This window comes from Homo sapiens, chromosome 6 (assembly GCF_000001405.40).
Source record: "Homo sapiens chromosome 6, GRCh38.p14 Primary Assembly".
Lineage (NCBI taxonomy): Eukaryota > Metazoa > Chordata > Mammalia > Primates > Hominidae > Homo > Homo sapiens.
In genome coordinates this window covers 41,095,957-41,114,612 of record NC_000006.12, presented here as the reverse complement: position 1 = coordinate 41,114,612, position 18,656 = coordinate 41,095,957, and the positions used below count along the sequence as shown (strand labels likewise).

At 40.7% G+C, this 18,656-nt stretch overlaps 2 protein-coding genes and 1 pseudogene across 5 annotated transcripts in view, besides 1 other annotated feature; 1 reads left to right on the top strand and 2 right to left on the bottom strand.

Annotated features, from left to right (window-relative positions):
- The window catches only part of ADCY10P1 (ADCY10 pseudogene 1), a 39,802-nt pseudogene extending 26,223 nt beyond the window's left edge, over window positions 1-13,579 (bottom strand). Inside the window, exons 1-6 of the transcript NR_026938.2 lie at window positions 13,435-13,579; window positions 12,499-12,603; window positions 9,465-9,503; window positions 6,104-6,308; window positions 4,709-5,664; window positions 3,257-3,390 (exon numbers count right to left, since the gene is read on the bottom strand). The product of NR_026938.2 is annotated as an ADCY10 pseudogene 1 (transcript). The remainder of the gene's footprint in view (window positions 1-3,256; window positions 3,391-4,708; window positions 5,665-6,103; window positions 6,309-9,464; window positions 9,504-12,498; window positions 12,604-13,434) is intronic.
- Window positions 10,157-10,357: a silencer, noted in NCBI's record as "peak5800 fragment used in MPRA reporter construct". NCBI's record gives its function as "represses an SCP1 promoter by STARR-seq MPRAs in K562 erythroleukemia cells {active_cell/tissue: K562}" and the evidence as "EXISTENCE:reporter gene assay evidence [ECO:0000049][PMID:32103011]".
- Window positions 12,210-18,656, bottom strand: part of NFYA (nuclear transcription factor Y subunit alpha) — a 29,430-nt gene continuing 22,983 nt past the window's right edge. For both annotated transcript variants that reach the window (NM_002505.5, NM_021705.4), the window contains one exon: window positions 12,210-17,256. In NM_002505.5, the coding sequence (NP_002496.1) occupies window positions 17,203-17,256 (54 nt within the window). In that variant the 3' untranslated portion in view covers window positions 12,210-17,202. The remainder of the gene's footprint in view (window positions 17,257-18,656) is intronic.
- Window positions 16,826-18,656, top strand: part of OARD1 (O-acyl-ADP-ribose deacylase 1) — a 33,016-nt gene continuing 31,185 nt past the window's right edge. For both annotated transcript variants that reach the window (NM_001329690.2, NM_001329684.2), the window contains exon 1: window positions 16,826-16,900. The gene's annotated coding sequence lies outside the window, so the exon portion shown is untranslated. The remainder of the gene's footprint in view (window positions 16,901-18,656) is intronic.

Genomic DNA, 18,656 nt, shown 5'->3' with positions numbered 1-18,656 from the left:
TTATTTCTCTTTATGTCCATAGCACCTAGCACAGTGCCTGGCTCATAACTGTGTTCAAGGAATGCTTGTTGAATGAATGCATTTATGCATGCCAGAAATTCAGCTATTAGCAAGTCAATAATGAACAAATAATACTTTTATCACTTAGTTATTTCTTATTTCTTTCTATTATACTTTATAATTCCTCCTTGTTTTTCCCGGCAATCCATATTCCTTCTTTCCTTTAAAACCTTTCTGCATTGATAAAGAATGTACTCTTTATTTGATATATGTCATTGTATATAAAGTATTTCTGGTACTGAAAAACCATAATAATGATATTCTGAGACTGCACTCCCTATGTCTCAAAAATATCCTGAAGAAATATGCATGGAATCATCTTTCCTCTAAATGAGCTAAAAGCTGGAGCTATTTCTCAGATTAGGAAGAGGAATTCAGAGGATATCTCAAGGTGAACAGGGTCTTTGAAAAAGAAGGCATGGAAAGTAGTTTTGGGTCTGAGAGCTCATGTAATGCAGAGAGAAATGAGCAATGGTATCTGCTACCGAGGCCACGTAGGTACCTCTGAAGCTTTAGCATCTGCTCAGCATTTCCAAAAATATCTTCCTTAGAACATTAGTTCCTCTGGATGTTTATAGGTCTTTCTGGAGAAAAGTGTTTGATGACCAAGTAAATTTGGGAAATGCTGACTAAAACTAAATATAACAAATTTCTTTCCCATAGCACTACTCAGAACCTTTGATATGTTAATGTTCATTGTGAACCTTGAAGAAGGAAATATAATTTGCATCACTTCCCAAACATATTTGGTGATGAAAATCTTTTCTTTTTTCATGAGCATATTAAGGGAGTAATAACATTCTACCAAACACACTTTGGGAGATATTGAATTAGTAATTATCTTCGAGGGAAAAATCACTGACCTTGAAACCTAGCTTTGAGGCTTTGACATCTGTTTGGCTTACCAGCATAACCTTTCTGGATCTTAGTTTCTTTAAAGAGGTCAAATTTGATGAACTCTAATACCCCATCTAGTTCTTAACATCTATTATATTCTAAACTAAATAAGATGGAAATGACCAAGTTACAGCCTAAGAGTGATGGAAGGCATTCTTAAGGGAATTTTAAGACAGTCTCTAAAGGACAAAGAAATGACTCTTTTAAGAGTAAGGGCCAAGGGTGGGACCTTGAAGGCCATAGGTCAATACAAACTTCAAGAACAGAACAGACCAGCACTGGAAGGGATGGCCCATGTGATGGTTAATACTGAGTGTCAACTTGATTGGATTGAAGGATTCAAAGTATTAATCCTGCGTTGTTTCTGTGAGGGTGTTGCCAAAAGAGATTAACATTTGAGTCAGTGGGCTAGGGAAGGCAGATCCACCTTTAATCTGGTGGGCACAATCTAATCAGCTGCCAGTGAATATAAAGCAGGCAGAAAAATGTGAAATGAGCGAGACAGGCCTAGCCTTCCAGCCTGCATCTTTCTCCGATGCTGGATGCTTCCTCCCCTCAAACATCAAACTCCAGGTTCTTCAGTTTTGGCACTCGGACTGGCTCTCCTTGCTCCTCAGCTTATAGGCAGCCTATTGTGGGGCCTTGTGGTCATGTAAGTTAATACTTAATAAACTCCCCTTTACATATATATATATTTATATATAATATATATTACATATATATATTAGTTCTATATAATATATATAATTATATATACATATATATATTAGTTCTGTCCCTCTAAGAGAACCCTGACTAATACTGCCCAGCATTTCCACCCTGGAGATAAGATTGGGAGGTAGGATATAGGAGTATCTGCAGATCCCACCAAACCTGAAAGAAGTGTTAACATGTATTTGCCTTGGGCAGAGTCTGAGTATCTATTAAGCAACTGTAGCATCTTTCTTATCTCTAAAATAAGGCTTGGATCAGATAATCTCTAAATTCCTTTCCAATAGTAACATTCTATGAGCGTGTATCTATAATTATATCACATTAATAGCATATTCTATTCTTTTGGGGGAGCATTTGCATTTTATAAGAGGCAGGTGGGGGATAAGTAATGAAACAACACAGGATTTGAAGACTGAAGATCTGGGTTTCATTACAAGCTCTGTTATATGCTAGTAACTTCTCTTCTGTGACTTTTATTTCCTCATGTATAAAAGAGGACCTGGGCATAGTGGCTTACACCTATAATTCCAGCACTTTGGGAGGCCGAGGTGGGAGGATCGCTTGGGCTCAGGAGTTCGAAAGCAGCCTGGGCAACACAGCAAGACCTTGTCTCTACTAAAAATAAAAAAAATAGCCCAGTGTGGGGCGTGTGCTTATAGTCTGAGCTACTTGGAAGGATGAGGTTGAGGATGCAGTGAGCCGTGATTGTGCCACGGAACTTTAGCCTGGGAAACAGAGCAAGACTCTGTCTCTAAAAAAAAGTAAAAAATAAAGAGGGATACAAATTTTCACATTGGTAGCATATACTAAAGTATTCTATAAATGTTAAAGTACTATGTACATGTTTGATATAATTTTTATCCATTTTGAATAAGTTGTGGCAAGCAAACCAATCTGATTCGATGTTAACATTGGAAGTAACTATTTTTAAAATTCATTCATGTATACACTTTCTCCATAGCTTTCTATTTTAAAAAGTCAATTGAAAACTTCCAACAAACTTTATCATAATGCAACTAGTGGGAAAATAGATTTTTCTATACCTTCATCTGGGTTAGGTTTTGTGAAAGGTGGTTGGGTGAGGCGTGGATGTGGAAGAGGGAGATCAGTTCAGTGTAAGGTCCAGAAAAAGCAATAAGATCTGGGAAAGACCCAGAATGAAAGCCAAGAGAGTGCTAACCAGCTGTGGTTCCTTTCTATCTAGGTAATTTCTCCACAACTTCTCTCATACTCTCTCGTAGACAGGCAGCCTTTATTCTGCATCCTCTCCACAGGCATGTTATTTGCATCACATTAATTTACACATTTGCTTGTTCCCTTGCAGTGTTCTCGAATCTTGGTATGTCTGTTCTGTTTCTCCCCTTTTCCTGACCCGCTGAATGGGAATGTATCTTTATTTCCCCTGGGTATCCAGTACAGAGATCTGTATCTAGTGATTTCTTAATAGATCTTGTTTGCTCACTTTCCTTAGCATGTTCCCTCCGAGTTAGGCAGATTCTGGACTACTTGAATCCCTGCCACTTGTTACTGCCTCCTACCCTGCCTGAAGAGCCCCTGGGGCCTGAGAAGCTCCTCTCTGCCCCACCTTCCTCCTCAGTTGGTCTTAGCAAGATTCTCCCAGCAGAAGCTGAAGATGCTGAAGGAGCTCTCCAGGGCATGTGCACACTCGTCTGGCTTCTTATCACCAGGAAGGCCGAAAACACAGAGGAACATGCAGCCCTGGGATAGATGACAAACAAAGAAATGAGACACTTACCTGGGAAAGGAATGTGGCTTGCCTAAACTAAACCAGCTCCACCGAATGAACCCAGACCCTATCCTTGAACACTCTTCTGTTGGAAATATCAGATTCTACATGATTCATAAAATGGAAATGCTGGGCCACAGCAACATACACTTTTTTTTTTTTTTTTTTTTGAGATTCTGTCGCCCAGGCTGGAGTGCAGTGGTGCGATCTCAGCTCACTGCAAGCTCTGCCATCTGGGTTCATGCCATTCTCCTGCCTCAGCCTCCCAAGTAGCTGGGAATACAGGCACCCGCCACCACACCTGGCTAATTTTTTTGTATTTTTAGTAGAGACGGGGTTTCACCGTGTTAGCCAGGATGGTCTCGATCTCCTGACCTTGTGAGCTGCCTACCTCAGCCTCCCAAAGTGCTGGGATTACAGGCGTGAGCCACCGTGCCTGGCCAGCAACATAGACATTAACAAAAATCTTGATTTAACTATTCAAAGAACTGAAATTTAAAACACAAGAAAAATTGCTATCAAGAACTTTTCAAAAATTTAATTTCTAGTATATACCTTGAGCTGAGTCTATGTGCCCACATTTTCTTCACCTATAATGTCAAGTGTTAAGATTCTGCTTTTTTTCAAGATCTTTAATTATCTGACAAAGACTTGATTACATTTAATTTACTAATAGAACCAGAAAAACATTCTTTATGCTTTCACAAGGATTCTTCAATAAGAATTCAATAAAAAATGACATGGAGAGTAACCCTCAGTAACCTTGAAAATTAAATTAACAAGAACATCCCAGCCGGGCACAGTGGCTCATGCCTGTAATCCCAGCACTTTGGGAAGCCAAGACAGGCAGATCGCGAGGTCAGGAGATCGAGATCATCCTGGCTAACACGGTGAAACTCCGTCTCCACTAAAAATACAAAAAAAAAATTAGCCGGGCATGGTGGCAGGCGCCTGTAGTCCCCAGCTACTCGGGAGGCTGAGGCAGGAGAATGGCATGAACGTGGGAGGTGGAGCTTGCAGTGAGCTGAGATCGCGCCACTGCTCTCCAGCCTGGGCGACAGAGCGAGACTCCACCTCAAAAAAAAAAAAAAAAAAAAAAAAAAAAAAAAAAAGGAACATCCCATTCCTTAATTAACATTAGTTGAAGTTTTAATGTAATATAGCTTGTTACAAAATAAGTAGCAGGGAATTTGACTTACACTTGCATTATGTGGGAGATCAACTGGTTGTACAAGACCATTACTCCTCACTCACCTTTAATGCTGATGGGTCAAGTTCCCTTGTACTTACTTTCTCAAACATAAAGATCCGACTCAGCTGGCCGCCCCCTTTCTCAATGACTGTGGAGATGTATAAGGCAGCCTCCTGGATAAGATGACACAAATGCAACATCCACGCTGTCCTGTGGAACTCTAGGCTGACCAAAACCAGAGTCATCGTACGGAATTCAGATACATACTCTATAGGCTGGCCTTCATCAATCTATAAAGACACATTGAGTTACCTACCTGTATTTTCAACTATCAACATCATGTTCAGGCATTTTTAATTATGTATTTCATGGTATGTATGAGAAAACAACTTATGGGTCTCAGCAAAAACTTAAAAGAAAATTCAGTATAGAAGATATACAAACCAATGAACTTGGAATTAAAACTGACTTTAGGCAGAATTCACTGATGAAATCTGTCAAGATTTACTCTCTAAGAATTAATTTGACACATCCATTAGTCATTACATCTCTTACTAAGGAATTCACATATATTCATATATATACAATCAGTCAACTTATATTTACCAAACATACACTCTATACCCTTCTTACAGTGTACTAAATTGTTAAAGAACAAACTAAAGAACAAATATGGCTTCTACTTTCTAGGACTGAGAAATCTAACTAAAGGTTTAAGACATGTTCATCACAGTATTATGTTGGCACAGATGGGTAAATTTGCTGGAATTACAATGGGTTGCTGGAGATTAACTGGATAAATATAAAAAAGTTGTCACTTATAATTGTACACCTGTTTATGCATGTGCATGCACACACACACACACACACACACAGAGAGAGAGAGAGAGAGAGAGAGAGAGAGAGAGAGAGAGAGAGAGAGAGAGAGAGAGACTCTATGAGGATTCAAGAACTAGGAAATAAGCTTCTTCAAAAGGTTTTTCATTATGTGCTTCTGCAGCTTTTGGTCAAGTTCAGAGTGTGGATCCAATTCCAGTGCAGTTCTTAAGAGTCTCTGAGAAAAGAAAAACAAAATGTCCCTGGCCATGTGGAAAATTAATGTTTAAAATTTGGGGCTTAGGTAGGAAGGACAAAGTAACTTACCAGCACTCGTACGGTAATGTGGTAGATAATTGAGGCACTTGTCAAAATGCTCATCAAAATCAAATGGATCAATGATCCACATATCTCTTAACTACAGAAAGGAAACTGTTTAATTCTGTGCCCCCACACAAGAAAGGCTGAGGATTCTATTGCCCTTGTTTGCCTTTTATCTCCTCAGCCTCACTGTTCTACCTCATCTATCTTCATAGGAGAATATTCCCAGCCTCCCTCCTAAATTGAGTTCCAATGGTCATTGGTTTGGCCAGGCAATATGTGAACACTACCAGAGCATTGCGCTGTGTACTAGGAAGGCCTTTTCAGAATGGCAGTACAGGAAGCTAGCCTCCTACCTTCACAGCTTCATCCTCCCTCATGATTGCCACTTCAAACATATACTGCTTGCAAAGCATCCAGCAGTTCCAGGATAGGACAATTTCATTCGCCTGAGCCAAACGCTGAGCTAACTGGACATCACTACAACCTGCCCAATCACCAAGAGGTATTGCTGCCGCTCATCTCCAACAATAACCTGGGAAATCCGACTTGCAGGTAGACCTATCCAGAAAAAAATGAGATAAATGGAGAAGAGTCAAATTCAACTGGGAAACTATGCAACAGGAGGGGTCTGGAATCCCCACATGGCTCTGTGCATCATGCCTATCTTGTTACTGCCCTCAGCTGCGGAAGTCTTAGGTGAGCTAACCTTTAAAAATAATACCTTACGGCCAGGCACGGTGGCTCACGCCTGTAATCCCAGCACTTTGGGAGGCTGAGACGGGCAGATGACCTGAGGTTGGGAACTCGAGACTAGCCTGACCAACATGGTGAAACCCTGTCTCTACTAAAAATACAAAAAAAAAAAAAAAAATTAGCCAGGCGTGGTGGTGCACACCTATAATCCCAGCTACTCAGGAGGCTTAGGCAGAAGAATTGCTTGAACCCTGGAGGCGGAGGTTGCAGTGAGCCAAGACCGTGCCACTGCATGCCAGCCTGGGCAACAGAGTGAGACTCCATCTCAAAAAAAAAAAAAAAAAATTCTTCCCCCAGATTTCCTTCTCTTATATAATACACCTGGAGATGGACATTTTGTCTGTCTGGAGATGGTGAAGGAGAGTAGTGGAAGAATGTACAAAGGGGCACGAGGAGACTTTTTGAGTGATAAGTATGTTCACTATCTTTATTGTGGTGATGGTTTCAAAAGTGTATAAATATGCCAATGTATAGTATCAATTATCCTTAATACAACAAAAACCAAAAGAAACAAAAAAGACGGCAGGACAAAAGAGATGCCATATAAGACAGAATATAATCCTTTACCACTGCTCCTCAAAACATAAAAGAATAGCTGGAGCCAACTTTTGCCCTTGAGGAGTTTTCTGAACCCTTGTGAAGGAGCTTTGTATATTGAGCTTCGCCTCCAATCCTGACTCTGCCATTGGTGAAACTTTGGCCCCTGTATGTAGCTTTTTAATTTTTATTATATTGTATTATATTTTTGATTCTGTCAAGCAATAACATAGTTCAAAAACTAAACTATATGAAAGAATATGTATTTTAAAATCTTGCTTCTACCTACATGACCATCTTTACTATTTTCCTGATATTAGTAATTTTATTAGTTTCTTATATATTTTTTCCAGTGTTTCTTTATACAAGATATAAACAAATAGGCCAGGTGCGGTGGCTCAAGTCTGTAATTCCAGCACTTTGGGAGGCCGAGGCGGGCGGAACACGAGGTCAGGAGATCGAGAACATCCTGGCTAACACGGTGAAACCCTGTCTCTACTAAAAATACAAAAAAATTAGCCAGGCGTGGTGGCAGGCTCCTGTAGTCCCAGCTACTCAGTAGGAGGCTGAGGCAGGAGAATGGTGTGATCCCGGGAGGTGGAGCTTGCAGTGAGCTGAGATGGCGCCACTGCACTCCAGCCTGGGTGACAGAGCAAGACTCCATCTCAAAAAAAAAAAAAGATATAAACAAATAAGAAAAATTCTTATTTTCCTCCTTACACAAATGGTAGCATACTAAACATGCTGTTTTGTATCTTACTTTTTTTCACTTAACTGTATCTTGGAGATACTGCCATATCAAGACATCTTATTTTTTTTAAGTTGCAGGTAATCTTATTGAGTATACATATTATTTACTTAACCAGTCTCCTATAAATAGTTTTCAATGTTTTAAAATTACAAACCATATTACAATCAATAACCTTGCACATGCAACATTTCAGATGTGTGAACGTATACCTATAGATGTCCAGAAGGATTGCTAGGTTAAGGAATAAATGCACTTGTAAGAGTAAATAGTATAGATGGTATATAAGTGAAAACAAGACTTTTTAATATATATTTTTATATGGTTTAGTTTTTGTTGACATAAAAAATACAATAGACAATAAAAATAAATAAAGATTGCCAAATCACCTTATACCGTTGTTCACTCACAGTAAGAAAAAGCTCATTCCTCAGACTCACCAAAGAGTACATTGTCCAGCATCTGAAGTTTTGCCTATCTATAGGTAAGACAGGTAGTCAGTGTACTTCCAATTGGCATTTTTCTTATTATGAATGTTGATCATCTTTTTACGTGTTAAAAGACATGCATTTCCTTGTCTATATACAATTTACTCATGTCCTTTGTCCAATTTTTCTCTTAAGAGTACTATTGTTTTCTTGATTTCTAAGTGCTCTTTCCCTAGTAGAGCAATTCACCCTTTGTCTATATGAATTGCAAACATTTTTTCCCAGTTTATCATTTATCTTTTGAGGTTTTTATAGTGGGTTCCCCCTTGCCCAACTGGATCACTCTTTTAGGAGGTACTACCTATCTTTAACTGCAGGTCCTGGCCTTCCCTGGTATGATAGATCCCAAATTTCTCCTGTATCTCCAGACTGCATTTTGCCACCAAGGTAATGATGTCACTCAGTTGATTTTGTTCTACTCTCCAGAGTGCCAGGAGCATGTTCCCTGCAGACACACAGGATAGGCTGATGGGGACCAAATATCTAGACTTACTTGGTCCAGGGCAAAGTCCCAGTAATGCAGAAGATCAACTTGACCCAGTGTGGATATCAAGTAAGTTATCAGGCAAGGTTTCTTGGCTGTATACATTATGCTAGGTTAAAATACTGCTTCAGATCCTCAAAATCATTCAGTAAAAACGTAACTAGGTAGAAGTTTAAATGATCCTAAGGATATTTTTGGTAATCTTCCTTCCACCAGTATACTAACAGAGGAGGAGAGGTACTAGCAAAAGATTCATAAAATGTGGGTTCAAGTTCATATCTAATTTGATGGCTGGTTTTATTATGTTTAAATAAGAAGACAGGCCAACTCCGGGGCATACAGCTGTTAGTGATCCTGAGTTCTCCAGATAGGACATGCTTAACTCCTCCCCATCTCATGCTTAGCTTCTGCTATTAATGACCAAATTTCTCATTAGTTTTCTCAAGAACGCTTTATTGGCACTTATTTTGCTGTCCTTCAATCTAAACAAAAATGCAAAGCATGTGAGAGTTTAATTTGGGCAAAGCTTTTCCATTAGACTGGGGGATCCTTTGAGGCACAGACTATGTCTTCCTCATCTTTGTATCCCCAGGGTCCAGTACCTATTAATCAAACAATGCTGAATAAACCAATATGCTGAATTCCACCTAAATATAGTCCTCCTCACTCAGTCTTTTAAGTATTCAGAAAAACTAAAAAAATACCTGTGATATTTAGGATATCCCCTCCAAAACAGAGAACATCTGAAATCAAGTAAGGAAGAGAGAGGAAAATGAGTCAAAATCAGATATAAACCAGATCAGGGCAGAATCATATATGGTCAAAAGAATGGCCTACTGAGTTTATCCTGACATCATTCTTGTCCATTTGCTCACTCCAAGACTCAGGCTCCTTCTTCCTTCTTTTCATTTTCTCCCCAAATCTATCTGCACCTACATACATCGTTTCTAAAATGGAAGAATTCCTGCTCTCTTCAAAGCCACCCCATTTGTGATAGGAATCTTATCCCCTTTTACCTTCTCAAGAACTTCACACCGTTCCTAATCTCTCTACTGAAATATTCTCATCAATAGCTTAAAAAACAAAACCAAAACACACAAAAATAACCCACATATTCTTGGTTCTACCTTATCTTCTGCCTATTAGCTCCATTTTTTTTCCTGCTACATTCACAACAAACAAAACCCCCAAATCTCAAAAAAGTTGGCTATATATATTTTCCTCATCTCCCATTTACTCTTCCTCTTAAATGTTTTCTCTGTCATTCTTTTTCTCAGCTTACTCCACTCTGACTTCTACCTCCACCACTTCAAATTATCAAGGTCATCAACAGCATTAATCTTGCTAAATTCAATACCTCTCTGACCTCACTGTACTTGACAGCTGTCATTTTCAACCCAGCTAGCTGCAGCTTTCTTCTAGAGACACTACCTCTCCTTTGGCTTCAGGAACACCACAATATCCTACCTCACTGGCTGTTTGTAGTCTCTTTTTCAGGTTCTTTCTCCCTTATCATAATCCTCCCCTGGAGTTCCTCAAGCCTCAGCCAAAGGCTCTTTCTCTTTATTTATGCTCTCCCAACATGAACTCAATCGGTTCTTAACTTTAAGTCCCACTTTATGCCATCAACTCACATTTTCATCTCTAACAGGGATCTCTTCTCTGAGCTCCAGGCTCAATCATAGCTGGATTCTCCACTTGAATGGAGTCATTCTCCACTTGAATGACTTATTGGCATCTCAAACTCAACATACTCAAAACAGAACTCTTGATTTTCTTTCTCAATGTTCAGTCTTTCCTGTCTTGGTAAATGACACGATCAATTCATTTATGAAAGCCAAAAAACTGAGTCCTTTTTCTCACCACTTCCCACTGAAATTCAACGTATTAGCAACTCCTGTCTGTTGAACCTGCAAAATATATTTCAGGTTAATCTACCCCACACAGCTCCCCTGCCATACCTCTACACCAACAATCTTCAGTCTTGACCGCACATTGGAATTGCCTATGAAACTTTAAAAGGTCTTATTCCTGGGCCAACCTTAAGAAAGTCCGATTTAAATGGCCTGGGGTGAAGCTTAGGCATTAAGATTTTTTGTTAGACAAGGTGGTATGGTACCTGCAGTCCTAGCTATTTGAGAGGTTGAGGCAGAAGAATCTTTTAAGCTCTAGAGTTCAAGACAAACTTGGCAACATACTGAGACCCCAGTCTCTTACAAAAAAAAAAAAAGAAAAAAGAAAAAACAATTAAAAAGCTCCTCAGGCAACCACAGCTGAGGTTGAGAACCACTGCTCTAGACCAAATCTCCAACATCTTTCCAGGACAATTGCCTCTTCCAGCTTCTATTCTTAAATTCACTTTCCACCAGCATTCAATCTCCACAAGGTAGCCAAAATCAGCTTTAAAGTGTTAATCAGATCATATTACTCCCCTGCTAGACCTTTCCACAGTTTTCCTTTATACAGAAATATATAATTCCAACTCTTCACTATGGACTACAGAGCGTGGTGGTCTCATAGCTACCATCCCCCAACCTTGCCTCAAACCACTCTTCACCCTGCGAGCTACGTTTTGGCCTGCACTGGCCTTCTTTTAGCTCCTAGAGCATGCCGAGCTTTCTCCTGTCTCAGGACCTTTGCACTTGGTATTCTGTCTGAAATGCTTTACCCCTAGTTCTTCACAAGCTGTTCCCCTCATCCTTCAAGTGTCAGCTTAAATAATACCTCCTCAGAGGAGCCTATGACCACCCTGTCTCATATACTCCCCTACCCTAAAATTATTTTTTGTGTTTTTTTTTTACCACTATACTATGTTTATTTCCTTGATAGAATATATAAGCTACAATTATTGTGTTTATTGTCTGTCCCACTAAAATGGAAACTCCACGAGGGTACTCTGTCTTACTTTCCCCTGTAGTTCTAGTACCCAGAAGTTGCTGGTATTAGAGTACATACACGATATAGAATGTTTATCTTCCCCTTCATCCAAACCTATAAGAAAAAGCAAACGACCTTCCATGTGTTCCTTAAGGATAAGAGGTAAGTCAAATAATCAAATTCTTAACGGAGATGCCTCAAAGTAATTATTCTGGTGAATCTCAGAATGATGGACGGAAGCATACAGGGCACTGTCAGTAAAGGATGAGAATGTTACGTAAGTACTAAAAGGTATAAGGTCAGAGTAATTTCTGTTGGGTAGGCCTAACTAAAAAGTTCAAGAGTGGGTTCTTGCCCTGCCTGCACCTATTACAGTCCATGTCACAGGGTAGGTACTCAAAACATGGGTACTACATAAATGAGTTTTTTCCAGATACTGGATATCTGGCAAATATCTAAAAGCTTAATACATGGCAGAAAATAAGAAAACACCTATTCCTTCCTCACAGGATCAAAATATAATAATAAAAAGATGTTTTATAAATTTTGTCTGAATACACACTTGAGATACGTTATTGTTAGAAGAGAATACTTTATTTTGAAATAAAATACAAATGTGCAAAGGAAATTAGCTCCTCCTGCCCCCCCTTTGAACAATGAGTCAATAGAATGTGAGACTGGGTAGATTAGCAGATAATAGGCAAAGGTCTAGCTTTTCAGTGGCAACTTGAAGAAACCAAAGATGAATGATGCTAAAGGAATGACCCTTTGGTACCTGTTTTAAAGTACTTCTGGCCCCCTTCTTTTATAAACCCCCAGGAGCCCAGCACCACACCTTGTTACCCTACAATGATCACTCACGCTCCACGATGTCACTAATGTAATAACTGAAGATATGGGCCAGTTTGTCCATGTCACGTTCCGACTTGTAGGTCAGGGTGAACCTGTCCATTAATGCTGTAAACCCTGACCAACAAAGCAGAAATTACGATGTTAACTCCAAATCCTAAACTTTTTGGCCCCTTTCTCCCCACACATCAGGCCAGTGTAAAGGAAACAGATCCCTTCAAGCTGAGTAATTCCTTTATCCATTAACATGGTGTAACTTAGAAACTACTAAGGGCCAGGTTGGTTGCTGCTGCCACTGGGAATCCAAAGGACCACCCTCTCTGCTTCCAAGAGCTGGAGATGGTGCCCTTTTCATCTGGAGCCAGCTCTTTCCCCTACTCTCTTAGGCTGCCTAGCTATGGGAAACAATAGGATCCCTCCTCATGTCTGGCTAGAGAACCACTCACACAGTGAGGACAGGCACCTGGTATTACCCATCTTCATATCCCTGACACAGAGTAAGTATTTGTTAAATGAACGACTCGCGGAGTGGCTGCTAGATAGCTACGGCCAGAACAACGGCGGGCATATACTTATGACGCCAAGAACGAATTAACTGAACGAATAAAATAATTGAAACAGAACGCTTAATAGAAAATGCTCGGGGTTGGGAAAAACGGGTTCAAAGCCCGGGGCGTGGTCCTGTAAAAATCCTTTCCTCTGAGTTTCAATTTCATCATCTTTGGGGTGAGCTCAAGGACTGAGCCGGTTCATCCCAAAAGATGTCCTCCCACGCTAAAACGAAGATACTCAAAGTTTCCTAAGGAAGCCGCAGCACGAAGTTAAACTGTGCCTTAGCTCGCGGGAGGCTAGGCCTGTAACCGTCGAGGCCTCCAGGGGCTTAGACCCAACGGCCGCCTCTCCCGCAGGCCAGGAGACTTAAGTGCAAGTGCCGGCCGTCGCCCTCACCCGTCACATGGACGCCTAGGAGGACGCCCTGGGCCGTGGCGAGCTCGGGTTCCCATCCCCGAGGCTTCCGAAAGACCAGTAGGTCGGGAAGCAGCGCCGCCAAGCGGGCCTCCACAGGCCACAGAGGCGGCGTCGCATGCCGCTCGCCGGTCACCATGGCTGCCCGCCTAGGTACCGGAAACAGGGCCCAGCCGCGTAGCAGCCAATCCGCCTAGCAGGCTCTATTGGAGGCCTGCCGCCGATCAATCCGCGCAGGCTTCCTTGGGACAACGCCAATCGGAAGCGACTTCAGTCGCCGCCCCACCACCTTCCCACATTCTTAGCGGGGCCTACTTCCCCGGGGAGAAGGGGCTGGAGGTGCGGCGGTCTGCGCTTTCAAAGGAGCAAAGCTGTCTTTTCTACTGGAAACGGGGGAGGCGAAGACGCTCCTACGATAAAGCCGTTGGTGTGAGATAAATATCGAGAGGTCTTTCCCTCATACCACAGAGTAGAATCTTGGGTCATCTCTGAATTTGGTAAGGACAGGTTCCACTGGCATAAATCTAAGCCAAACTCAAGCACAGTTTGACTAAAGCTATCAAATACTGTCAGTGCTTTTCCTTCATTGTGGAGAGTTTCTCCTCTCTCATCTGCCAGGGCAGGTCTACTGCTCTCATCATTGAGTGCTTCCTCGGGCTGTTTGTCTCTTGTGTGTTGATAATGGCATATCGGAGGCTTCTAGTCTTTGTTGCTTAGATTCCCAGCGACCGTAAGGTAAAACAGTAACAAGGTGAGCATGCTGTGGATTTTTAACAATCAGAAAAGTACTTTTGTTTTGGTCTTCTGCCAAAACAAAATCTAACAAAACGTAAATAGTACATCTTCACTACCTGAAATTCTACAATACTTAAGGCTGTTTTTGTGATAACGGCTAATTTTCCTCATGGAATTACTTCATCACATTTTGATAAACACTTTCAGTAGTAGCATCAAATGTATGATCAGCCTGCAGGTGACAGAAAAAATCTCCTCAACAGGGTGGAAGGGCCAAAAGGGAAGAAATTAAGGGGAGATAAAGCTAAGAGGCTCAGACATTACAAGTTTGATACTGTTTACAGAGACACCGTCCATGCAGACAAGTCTTGTCGGGGGAGATCAAAATTTCAACACTGGAAACACAAACTAGAACCCAGGAGTTGCAGATTCCTCAAAAGTCACATTACTTTTCGGTTATTTTTATAAATTTATTTTAAAAAATAACAATTGCAATGACATTAATGATCGATCACCTGTACGCCCCCATACTGCTGGGGGAAAAACCTTCGATATAGTTGAATCCCAAAGAAAAATCAAGACATTATTATCAGGCACCCTATAGCCACAAAATGCTCTGTTGGTCCAGTGGCATCGACACTGACATGTTCAATGTACCAGTGCAGTTAAAATATATACACTTAAAATTATCCTGCAAAAAAAAAAAAAAGCACTCAAGTTGCATAACTAGGCATTAAACCAATTATTCATTCATCCATTCACTCTTTCTCCATCTGTAAAGTTATCACTACAGTCACAAATAAAAATGAATAAAAGAACTAGTATCAAAGAAAAAATCCAAATGTCAATACCCTGCCCCCACTTTGTGGGCTACTATGGTGTGCCAAAGTGACCACAAGAAAAGGGTCATGAGCTATTTGAAATGCAATGACAAAATGACAACTGAAGCATTTCAAACAAAATTCAAAGTCATCTCCCCCCAAATAAAAAATTCAGCAACAAGGCTGGCATTACTATGTACAAACTTACAGACACAAATAAATAGCATCTTCTAACTGTTGGCAGCTTAAGCACTCAAAGTTAGGTCTGAGTAATTTCTTTCTGAACTCTGCATCTTAGACTCCTAAATTAACCAAGGAATATAAATTCCTCATTGTTAGTAATCTATTCTCTGAAAAACTTGGGACTTACTGAATAACATTAATATCCCAAACTCTTGTAGAGCTAGAAGTTTCTAGTGAGCTTACCAAAGGATCAGTCCTTTGACATCTGGAAGCCAGGAGCGATTACCAGATCCCTGGGACTAGGAATATTTCACTTCCTGTTTCCTTTGCATAGCTCTGTACCTCTATTTCTATCATTACAATCATCTCTCTTTGTGGTGTTTTTAGAGGGCTTAATTTCTGTCTTAATACAGTTAAGCTGAAGTCAAAGAAGAACCAATTTTTATTCTTGGTATTTAACCCCCAATGTTCCTCGGAATTATTGGGTTTTCCTTGTTTCCAGAGAAGGCAGCCAACTCTTCTGAAATATCATCTTAGTTCTCTCAGGGTTCAACATCTAAAAGAGAAATAGATTTCTGAGGCACAACCCGTTCTGGGAACAGTGGCCCAGTTCCTGACCCTGCAGGCATGTTTCTTTCAGTCTGCAGTTTATTCTCACAGTATGGATGCAATGAGAAAACCTTTCTGCACAAGGCCTATGGAGAAAACATGAAAACTGGCACCAAAGAATCAGCTGCCATGGGAAGAATGAAAATGCTCGCTTTCTAGGGCCAGCATTGTGCTGCAGGAGTGAAGCCAACATCCACCTCAAGCTTTAGTGGGTAACTTGGACTCTGTCCAGGACAGTGTGACTGACCAGTGCTTTCCAGAAATTGTCAAGGATCAAATCTCAGGCTTCTTCCTTTCAGTGCTTGTTAAAGGTTCTAGAGTAAATGTGAATTACTCTCTTCATCTTAATGATCCATTCCAGGTATCCATCCACTGGAGAATCGTGCTCTATGATAACATACGGGTATACATGCTCTCTCTCTCTCTTCCTCTCCCCCACTCTCTCCCACTAGGCTGAAACACATGAATCTTTTAGTTCCCCAAATGCTGTCACAAAGTCTATGATTGAAAATCTCTAGTTTGGCCCTTCCTTTAGGAGTATTACAAATCTCCTCAGTGCTTCAGCAAAGAAGTTGTTGAATAGTCTTGTTCTCTACTTAGGAAAGGCAGTTTCAAGGTTTAATAACCCTCTACATTGTCTTAGAAGTAGCCACAGCAAGTACGATGGTCCAGATGACCAGTCAACAGAGGGACAAGCAGGCCACAACTTTTCAAAGCTAGAAAAAGAGATTCGGCAATGTATATTTTTAGTGCTTGAGTCTTTTATCATTCTATCCCCAGAATTAGCTTTTTCTTGGCTAGAGTCCAGAAATATCAACCTACCATCTGGGCAGAGAGGAATTCTTATTATTACCACAGATTGGAAGAATGTATCTCAGGAATTTATTGTTTCCGTATCACAAGATAGAACTTCCTTGCCTGGAAGCCATCTCTGAATACAAAGCGTCCATTCAGTTAGTCAGTGTGAGATTCCCCCACCAGAGGGATAAATGCTGTCTAGATTCCATGGGAAGGAGTGGGCTGCTGCTTTCCTGATTGCAGTTTTGGTTGAGAAGGTTGTTCTTCCCTGCTGAGATGGCTGGCTGACTTCACCAGTCAAGGTAAGTGCTTTGTGTACTGCTGGGGTGGCATGTGTCTCCTTGCATCATCCGAATCCATGAAATGTCAATGTCATCAACAGTCTGAAATAGGTCCTGACTGAAAGAGTAAGACAAAGGCTTGCAACTTCAATTTGCCAGGCATCGCTGCAATTGTAATACTGAGCCACTTATTAAAAACTAAGTGGTTTCTGTCCTGTAGTAAAGGGCAGAATGTGATCATCAATGTCCCATTGGAAGAGTTGATCAATTTCCTGGAACAGTGAGAAACATGACCTTGATCAGCTCCATCACATGGCGTGGGGTTAGGACACTCGGATGATCTGTGTCATTGCTTCTTCATCGGCTTGGTTTGGATCCTAGAGACAAAGATGACATGATGATTAAAGTCCTTTGCAAAAGCAACAGGAACTCATGGCTCTCACTACTTATCCCCCCAAGAGAATACACATAACTTTACCAAGTAAATCAAAGGCTTGTAATACATCTTAAGTCTGCATACATGGCTTAAAGTGTAGCCCCATTAGGAAAGAAGAGACAATAAACCTTATTCTTAAAATAATTTAAAGTCTGGCCTGCACTCCATGGTGAAACACTGCAGGGCTGTTAGTGTATCTCTTTCCTAAGAACCTTGTGTTGTTCTCTATACTTAAGGGTTAAGAGTATTCAGATTCAGGTGTCTAAGGAAAAGACCCAGAGAAACCATGTCATGCTGTATTTTTGTCACTGTTTTTTGATCATCATTTAAATACTGAGTACTTAGCAGGGCTAGAAAGAATCATTAGAATCTATACACTTTAATGTACTCGTTTTACAGATAAATCTGAAGGCCAGATGGGTAAAGTGATTTGCGTGGACTAGGGTCAGGGTCAGAAAGTTAGGAGTCCAGCAAGGGCTAACTCCCAAATCTCCTGACTCCCATTTCATCTTCTTTCCACTAAACTCTATATGCTGTTTCTCACTTAAGACCTACCGTGTTAACACAAGGATAAATCCTTGGAAGCTTTTTGCAACACTCCGCAAGAACCACCTTTAGTTCCCCCATACCAAGGCTCTGAAGCCTTGGTAGGCAGGATCTGAGAAAAAGCTGAAAGCCTTCTGGAGATGGAAGACTGGAACTGGGTCTTGAACAATGAGCAAAAACAACTAGCATTTACTGAACTCACCATGCACTAGGTATGGTGCTACACAGATGCCTAATGTGGATTACTGAATGAAATCCCTACAACATTGCTGTGAAGTATCAACAGTATTCCACTTTACAGATAAAAATAAAAGAGGCTGAATTGACCAAGATCATATTGTTAGCACACAGAATGAGGAGAGTTCCTGGCACAATGCCCTCCTGCCACAATAGCTGTCAGGCCCACATTCATACACCGTTATGAATGAATAGCAATGAGAAAGGAGGGGCTCTCACACTACAGGTGAGGATTAATAGCACTGAAAGAGTTGTTAGTGTTCATGTGTGGGGACACTGAGGAAACCTAGTTTGATTGTTGAGGGGGTGATAAGGCAAAGTTGCTTAGATGTTATACAGAAATAGTTTGAGATTTGATGCAGTTAAGAAATGAGAACTATTAATAGCATGCATCCTTGACCTGGGGACTGGCAGGTTAAAAAAAACACTTTAACCATGTACTGTATAAGTACTATATAAGGCCAATTAGAGGAGACTGGAGATTAATTTGATGGATATTGCAATAGTGCAAGTGGAATGTGATGTTAATATAGAATGGAGTATCAGCAAATGGGAGGA